Raw genomic sequence first — 10,068 nt, forward strand, 5'->3', positions numbered from 1 at the left:
TAAAACATATATGTGTACTGCATGTACTAATACACTTAATTAAGTAAAAAAGGATAATTATTGAATACTGTAAATGTTGTGCTTTCATAACATTAAGCTTTTAGACATGATTTTAAGTTACTGAGGCAATGATGAGTTAAAAATGGTGATACTAAAGGAAATAAGAATGCTCTCCAAAATGCCCTAGCTTAGAAATCAAAACACAATTGTTTAGCAGATAACTGTATAAGGAATGATTTGATACTTGATAGTAGTTGTCATTTTAATTGAGGCTTACCTCAGATGAAACTATGAAAAATTCCTTGAAATGGCTCAGATGACCTCTGAAAAATATTTGCAATTCTTAAATTTTCACTTTTGGTACTTAAATTCAGCAGTGTTTAGTAAAAGAGAGTCAGGTAAAGGACTTCAAACTGCCAAGGGAAAGATTCCAGTTTGTATTGGTCAGGGTTCTCCAGAGAGACAGAACCATAGGATGTGTACATAACTATATATATATATATATATATATATATATATATATATATATATATATATATATATATGTATATATACCAAAAATACTTACAACTCTGGTACAATTGCCTATCGTATACCATACAGGTTTGTAGCCTAGGAACAATATGCTATACTGTATACCATAGGTGTGTAGTAGGCTATACCATCTAGGTTTGTGTAAGTATACCCTATGATGTTCAAACAATAACGAGACTGTCTAATGCGTCCCTCGGATCATATATCTGTCCTCACTCTACACATGACACTGTACAGGAGAGGAAGTCCACTAGGAGAATTTGTTCCCTTGATTATGGAGTCTGAGAAGTTGAACACAGGCTGTCATTAAGCTAATGTCCTAAAGATACCAATATCCTGGCTGAGTTAGAATCAGCTTCAGGAGAAAGAGAGGAAACTGCCTTCTCTCTGCCCTTTATCTTCAGTCTGAGCTACCAGCTGATTGTATAGTGTCCACCCACATTGAGGGCTGCTGTTCCCCACTCAGCTCACCAACTTACATGTTTCTCTGGAAACACCTTCACAGACTCACCCAGAAATAATGCTTTACCAATTCTCCATGTATTACTTAATCCAGTCAAGTTAACACCTAAAATTAACCATAATTCCATAGTAATATGATTATATATATTTCAGTTTTTAAAAAACTGACTATATGTCAGTTCATAGTTTGAGTAGCCAAAAGAAGAAGTTAATTTAAGCCATAAGAAAAATAAACCCAATATTTTTCATTATTTATTTTATCTCCTATTTATCCTAGACTGGTTTAATTGCTGTCTTTTTGTTTATCTTGGCTGTTGATTTGTTCTGGGGTTGTTTTTGTTTTAAAGAGCCGGCTTCTGGGTCCCTCTCTCTAAACATATGCCATAGCGCCCTCTGACCATCTTCTCATGTTTTGTTTCCTAATGTAGGTTTTCTACTCCTCTCCCATAGTCATTCAGTAGTTATTTGAAAGAGAAATATGGACGACCATGTTTTATTCTAGACCACTTAAGATTAAAACCCGAGTTTCATATCGACATCCAGGGAATAGGTATTTGAACAGATTTGCATTATGTTATGGGCAGGAACTAGGAGTAGAAGAGGTTGTGAGTCATCTAGTCAGTGGTGTCTACTAAAAAGCCTAAAGACTCTCTTTGTGTATGAATTTTTCATTTTTGTTACAGAGGAAATAGTTTGTTCTGCTTTAATGAGCACTGTCAAGAGGAAAATATAGCTATCACATATCACCACATGTTCACAGATTTTCACCAACCCAGACCCCAAAATGACATGCTGCTCTTTCTTCTTCAGAAACATGAATTCTGAAATTTTGCAAGTCTTCCAGAGGGAACTCACCTGTCCCATCTGCATGAACTACTTCATAGACCCAGTCACCATAGAATGTGGGCACAGCTTTTGCCGGCCCTGTTTCTACCTCAACTGGCAAGACATGGCAGTTCTTGCTCAGCGCTCTATATGCAAGAAGACAACACGGCAGAGAAACCTCAAAACTGACATTTGTTTGAAGAATATGGCTTCCTTTGTTAGAAAAGCTAGCCTCTGGCAATTCCTTAGATCTGAGGAGCAAATAAGTGGGATGCACGGAGAGACAAAGAAAATGTTCTGTGAAGTGGACAAGAGCCTGCTCTGTTTGCTGTGCTCCAACTCTCAGGAGCACCGGAATCACAGACACTGTCCCATTGAGTGGGCTGCAGAGGAACGCCGGGTAAGTAATGCCTCTGAAGATCTATTTCTATGCAGGACACATGAAATTCTTGTAAGTCTATTTCCTTGGAGATTGGATGATGCCATCTCTGTGTCCCCTTAAGCATGTCTGTTATGAGCTTCCTTGACTTCACACCTCTCAGATTCGACAAACATGAGGAGAAACACAGCAAACTCTCTTTTCTGTGGGCTAATTTGTCTCTCATTTTGGGCCCTTCGTATATCAGAGTGTGAATGATACTTTATTGTCTTCACTTGTGCTTAAATTCATGGCTCTTTTGCAGGAGGAGCTCCTAAAAAAAATGCAGTCTTTATGGGAAAAAGCTTGGGAAAATCTCAGAAACCTGAACATGGAAACCACCAGAACAAGAAGCTGGAAGGTTAGTACCGTATTACTCTACCTTCTCCAGGAACTTATAGGGAACAAATGGGTGATTCTTAAAATAGGAACTTGATCTCAACCCATAATGTTTCTGGAATTCAATAAAGAAGGAGAAAACACTTGAGAAAAAAACACCCTAATTTTTTATAAAAGTTAGTGTGACTCTTTGGTAGGATTTCTAATCAGACCACAGATTTTACACTAGCATGCTCATCTGTTTCCATACAAACCTATAGCAATACCCCAACAAATACAAGAAACTGGGCCATTTCACACTGTTCCCAGTGGGCTGCCTGGATAAATTCTGGACACAAGAGTTATTTGTCAGTCATGGAAATTTCAGGTGACCCTTCTAAGGCTGAGTCAGTATGAATTTGAATCCTGGTGGGCAAGTATATTGAAATGTGAGCTAAATTTCAGGCAGAAGGTGAGAGAGCGCAACCTTAGGGAAAGCATGAAATTAAATATCAGCACTAATTAATATTGAATAAGTCATAAAACATAATGGGAAAAGTGGTGAGAAATGTAGACTTGTGTCTTGATGAAGACATAAATATGTGAGAAATATGGGAACTAGTATTTAATATAAGGAGAACTCTAAGGACTTGAGAAGAATTCTAGAAATGATTTTCTCTTTGTGGATGTTTATATTGAGGGTATGATATCTAATATTAATTCATTAATTTATTCTAATATTAATTCACTGAAAGATATTCTATGAGTACCTAGTCTAGGTCAAATATCAACTTAGAAAATTAAGGAGTAAAGAAGAAAGAAAACACACAAATCTTGCAATGGAAATGAGAAAAGCAAATGGTCACCATGCAGATATGTGAGGTACATGATGTGTTAGAGTGCAGTAGTGTCTTTGGAGAAGAATCAAGCAGGAAAGTAGAAAAGGAGCACAGAGGCCAGGGACTGGGGATGAGGGTTTGAGTTTTAAATAGGGTGGTCAGAAAAAAGGCTCATGGAAAAATTCACACTGAAACAAAATCTTGATCAGGAGGAAATATATATATCCTCCTGTTTGCCTTCCTCTTCCTCATAAATATATGAATATATATGTGTATGTCGGTGTTGGTATATATATATAGATAGATATATTTGAGGAATATATATGTAAACACACAGATACACGTATATATTCCTCATACATCATATATACCTATATTTGAGAAATATATATATGAGTACATATATGAGAAATATATATATATATGAAAATAATTCTAGGCATAGAAAACAGCATGTGCAGTAATATTTAATTTGCATTTATTTGGGGGTTTGAGGAACCACAAAGAAGTCCATGTTGCAGATTAGGGTGAGTTTGGAAGAGAATAAATGAAACCTTATTAGAATATGTTATGCTGGGTGAAATGCATTGAGTTGACAATGCTAGTCTGGGTCATGTCATCATTTGTCATATAATGGTTTTACATAACTTGCCCCAATTCTCCAAAATAGAAATAATGGTTTCTTACCTAGTCAATATAACTCGATAGTTTGATTCTTAAGCAAGAACTGTGTTTTCTTTCTATAAATGTGGTGTGGAAGAGAGAAATCCATCTTTATATAACTGTCATAGAAAACATTTTATCATTAATCAAGTAAATGTAACTGGGCAGAAACAACTATGTTGATAGTAGTACAGAAAAAAAGGAAAGGAATAAAATTTTGTGGAATCTGAGAATTGACAAGATCGAGGATTAAAATATTGGGTGTTGAGAATGCTAAGAGGAATCAGTGAAATTCAAGAGAAGATGGATAAAACATTTCTATTTTGACTAATTGTCACTGCAGGATTATGTGAGTTTAAGGATAGAAGCAATCAGAGCTGAATATCAGAAGATGCCTGCATTTCTCCATGAAGAAGAGCAACATCACTTGGAGAGGCTGCGAAAGGAGGACGAGGACATTTTTCAGCAACTCAATGAAAGCAAAGCCAGAATGAAACATTCCAGGGAGCTTTTAAGAGGAATGTATGAGGATCTGAAGCAAATGTGCCATAAAGCAGATGTGGAGCTACTCCAGGTACGGACTGACCGTGGGGTATCATGGTGTTGAACATTCACATACATGGGTGTTTTTCCTCTCTCCTGAAATCCATCTCCCCCTTCACTTCCATGATTTGTTTCCAAAAACATGATTCAATAACTAATGCTCCTTGGTTGGGAGGGTGTATCCTCTCCTTGTGATTCTACCAGACCGAAGGTCCCTCCTACTTTATCCACCAGCAACAAAACTTTGTAGAATGGCTAAGGTAACAAATAGCCCCAAGAAATATTTCCCATCAAAAGTCAGTGATTTATTTAGGATTTTTGAAAGTGGATAAAATGAGAAGTGATCCATTGGCATTTAGGCTAATTTGGAGACATGGCAGGATGGAGAAGTTGGGGAATCTAGGATCACCCTAATATTATTTTGGGGTCCACTCACTTTGGTAACAAGGTTTAGGGAAGATGACTGAGTAGCTTCTTTATGGTTACCTCAGAGCATAGACTCTGTAGGCCTCCTCTCCCTTCACTTGAAAAGAGAATGTCTTCAAGACTTAGACTTTGTCAGGACATTAATTCATGACATATCATAGACTGGGATTTTCATGAGAAAAGAAACAGAAAATGCTTTCCAGGAGGGAACATTGTAGGAAAATAATATCTTCAGAAACTGTCTCCAAATCTCACACTGAACTTAGTGGAAGATGCATCTTGTGGAAAGCACTAAGCCTTTCAATTTTTTTTTTTTTTATTTTACAGGCTTTGGGAGACATATTACACAGGTGAGTACATACCAAGATTTTAGCAGATGCTTTCAGTTTCCACAACTATCAAGCAGGAACTTTGACATTGAAGGTATAATTGATTCACATACTGATACTGCCTTGTGCTGGTTGTATTTTCTCCATTCCCCACCCCATGTAGTCATCTATTTTGTTGCCATACTCAGTGACTTTATTAAGCAGCTCAATGAAAGTTCTGCAAAACCAAATAAATAAATAAATAAATAAATAAAACAAAAAATAAATAAATGAAAGAAAAATAAAGGAAGTGAGCATCTCTATTCCTAATTTCCTTTTTATTGCTCAAAAGCCTTCATATTTGAAAGAGAAAATATTACATTTACTACTTGCATACAAAGTCAACCAGGGGAAGCCAGAGAGAAAAGGGGAAAGTATTTTAGCAGTGAAAAGTGTTGATGATTTCTAGTTTATATTTAAATATATAATTGTGAAAAATGGATGAAACAAACTATTCGGTATGTTTGAACCGTGTAGGCCTCCAGAGAACCTCGACTATAAAAGGCAGATCTCCCTGCCTGGAGCAAGTTTCAACTCTCTGGCCTTGAGAAGGAAGCAACAGATGCAGCAGTCTTAAAAATAACCCCACTTTTCCAGACAGTGATTTCAGGAATTTCTGGAGAGGCCTGGAACCCAGAATTTCATTTTTGAATATTCTCCCAGTCTTAAGACTAATGATCCTTACTAATTTGGAGCAATACCAAGAAAGATCTGAATGAATTCTCAGTCAGATAGACTTTTCCATCGTGTTTGAAAATGAGGAACTGTGAATAAGAATGAATTTGAAAAAGAAAATGATAATTTTGGAATTAGCAAATGTGTGGGTTAAAGGGATTCTCATGAAATGTCTTTTAAATAAAAGTGGTGATTTTTATGTATTTTTTTTTTGGCTGCAGATGTGGAAAGGGTATGTTTCTCCTTGCAGGTATGAGTCCCTGTTGCTGCAAGCATCTGAGCCTGTGAATCCAGAGCTCAGTGCAGGGCCCATCACTGGACTGCTGGACAGGCTCAGTGGATTCAAAGGTAAGTGTCAGCCCATTGGCAGAATTCCCACAGTGTATTACTTCTTGTTAGAATCATGGGGGTAATATTTTACCCTTCATCAAATCTTTATTTCATTTCAGCAGGAAGTGAACCATATGACGATGCAACCCTTTTATATCTGTGTTTCTATTTATAGTCCAATTTATAACATGAAGTGTAAAACATAGTGAAAAACAAACATGTTCTGGGCTCTTGTATAGAGTTCTATATTGGGTAAAAGGAATGACATAAGAAATAAAAAATTGAATAAATGGAACAATGCTCAGAAGGAAGCATAATAATCCAAGGTTATATAAAAGTTTTACATTTGTTTACTGTATTTCATTTGAATTGTTAAAAACATTTCATTGGGGAATAGAGTTCACTGCAGTTTGTTGGAGTATTTGTACTTTCTTACAATAAATAGATTTTATTGATATAATGTAAAATTTGGACTTAACATGTAAAAAGAAAGAAGAAATTATTATGAAAATAGGAAGTAAAAATAGAAATGATAATTTCAGTTTAGTTACAACCTGAAGAGCTACGTGTAAAAATCTAAAATTCAGTTTGAGTCTAGAGCTAGCAGGGATGTCCGCAAAGTGACTGGTAAAAGATTTTGCAAAAATCTGCCTTCAGTTACCACTCATAATTTGAACATATGGACTTTTATCCAGTTATCTAGAGCGGTGCTTGTGTAAGCTAAAATCTTCCCATTCTTGCCAAAATTATATCACTAGTATTTAAGAACAAGAAATATTTTAATAATAATGACCTTGATAGCTAAAGGGCATTCAGGGCATAAAATATTTCACTTTTACATTGGAGATTGGATAAAAACAGGCTGGTCTTATATTCAACTCTCGATTTTTAAGATTTCAATAAATTTTCAATGTCTGTTTTTAGGGTTTTGTTCTTCTTATAGAGAATATTAATCATCCTTATACTTTATTAAATGTTGTAGTCACAATTCTCCTGTCCTTGTAACTTCAAATTTCCTGGTAAAGTAAACTCTTGGTAGAACTACTATTCCCTCAAGAATTCTAATTTCTGTTAATTACATGTATCTATATTTTTTAAAAATTATTTTTGCTGTTGATTTTACTGTGCAGCCTGAAAGAGCCAATAGTCATATCTTCCTGCATGGAGATTTGAGAAGCATGAATGTTGGATGTGACCCTCAAGAAGATCCCGATATCACTGCAAAATCTGAATGTTTTCTTGTATGGGGGGCTCAGGCTTTCACATCTGGCAAATATTATTGGGAGGTTCACGTGGGGGACTCTTGGAATTGAGCTTTTGGTGTCTGTAACAATTATTGGAAAGAGGAGACAGAATGACAAGATAGATGGAGAGGAGGGACTCTTTCTTCTTGGATGTGTTAAGGAGGACAGTCACTGCAATCTCTTTACCACCTCCCCACTTGTGGTGCAATACGTTCCAAGACCTACCAGCACAGTAGGATTATTCCTGGATTGTGAAGGTAGAACCATGAGCTTTGTTGATGTTGATCAAAGTTCCCTGATATACACCATCCTTAATTGCTCCTTCTCACCTCCTCTCTAGCCTATCTTTTGCTGTAGTCACTTCTGAGCAGAAAAAAGTCAGAAATGTGTCTATATGCTCTGGGAACCTGTTTATCACAGAAAGCCCTCTTTTTCACACCTCATCAAACAGGACAAATAAGTTATATTTAATGTCTTTACTTGCATTCTAATGTCATCAAAACTCATTTATAGTGTTTCTATTAAATATGGTGAAAACATAGCAACCATGTGTATTGGTTCCTTTTTAAGTCATTTTTGGAAAATCATTACCCATGATGTATGGCATAGAATATATTCTCTGGTTTTTAATTATTTCTGAATGTCACAAAGTGAAATAATAGATGACAGAGTTGTCTAAATGAAGTTAAAATCAATGGAAGAAAGTAGAGATCTTGGGCTTCATGAAAAAACTTGGAGTAAAAAAGACTCAATGGTAACCTGGAAATATTTTCTTTCTCTTCATCTAACAATATTATACTTCTCCATGTGTTTTATTTATGAACCTATACTTTGAGGTAATCTTATTTGACCTCTTATGCTGTGCTTATCTTTGTAAATCTCATCTTATATACAAAATGCTCATGCATTATTAGAGTGCTGTTCTACAGTGAAATTTACAAGGGGATCAGGACAATGCTGGATCAATTAAATATTCAAATGGACATAACTGAATACTGACCCCTACCTCAAACCATACACAGTGCATTTCCACATGGATTCATGTTCTGAAGGTGAAGGGAACACAGTAAATTATTCTCACACAGAAAGATTTCCTAACCAGGACAAAAAAGGAACAATTAAGAAGAAAAATTTAGTTAGTTTATATCAAAAATGATGACTTCTGTGTTTCAAAATATACCATCCAAGAATTAAAATGCAAACCAAGAGTGGAGAAAAATATTTATCCCAACATATATGCAATAAAATACAATACATGTGATTAATGAATGTAATAAATAAAAGAAAATGAACCCAATATAAAATTGGGAAAATATTTGAACAGGCACTTCATAAAATTGGAGGCATAAATATCTGGACAAATATGAAAAAGGGATTACTTTTATTAGTCCTCAGAATAATAAAAATTAATCCATAAGTTGAACTACAGGCCTCCATAAAAAGTAGCAAAATGTAAAGACACATAATATTGTGTGTTGTGAAAGATAAAGAATCAATGAAAGTTATTCATGGCTGGAGGGATGTAAACTGAAATACTTTTTGGTAAACTGACTATGAGCATTCCTTATGGGCTAGATATTCTCATTCTAAAATATATTCCACAGACTGCCTATGTGTATTTCAAGATAAACGCAATGTTGATCATTGCAGCAATTTTTATAGTAGCTCAAAATTGGAGACAAAATAAATATTCATCAACAGTAGAATTGCTAAATAAATTGTGATCTCATCATACAAAAGAATTTTACAAAACAGAGATAACACCAAAATGCAACAAATTAATTAATCTCAAAGAGAAGTTTAAGAAAAGAATTGAAACACACAAATGTTATATTACAGTGTTTTATTTAGATAAATTGTGAACTCCATTAATTGATGATAGAAGTTAGAATATTGAATAATGTTTTGGAAGGTAATGGTTAGGAAACTTAAAAATTAACCAGGATAAGATATAGGAAGCATTGAAATCAAGGAGAGAAAATATAAGCATTTTTCATGCAGAAGAGAATCATATATATATATGTGTATATATATATATGGTATTTTAACGTATAAAATAAGTTTGAAATAAATGATTTGATGTTTTGCCTAATTTTTCAAATGCATATATATATAATTTAATTTATGATAATTTAACATCAACATTAAGACATAAAACTTTTTTTATTATCATACTTTAAGTTCTGGGGTACATGTGCAGAATGTTCAGGTTTGTTACATAGGTATACACGCACTGTGGTGGTTTGCTGCACCCATCAACCCCTCATCTACATTAGGTAGTTATCCCAGTGATATCCCTCCCCTAGCCCCCCACCCCAGACAGGCCCCAGTGTGTGATGTTTTCCTCCCTGTGTACATGTGTTCTCACTGTTCAACTCCCACTTATGAGTGAGAACATGCAGTGTTTGGTTTTCTGTTGTTGT

General features: G+C 35.1%; 1 pseudogene; it reads left to right on the plus strand.

The window, feature by feature from the left end:
* On the plus strand, window positions 1,801–8,185 carry TRIM51CP (tripartite motif-containing 51C, pseudogene; annotated as a pseudogene).

This window comes from Homo sapiens, chromosome 11 (assembly GCF_000001405.40).
Source record: "Homo sapiens chromosome 11, GRCh38.p14 Primary Assembly".
NCBI classification, from domain to species: Eukaryota; Metazoa; Chordata; class Mammalia; order Primates; family Hominidae; genus Homo; species Homo sapiens.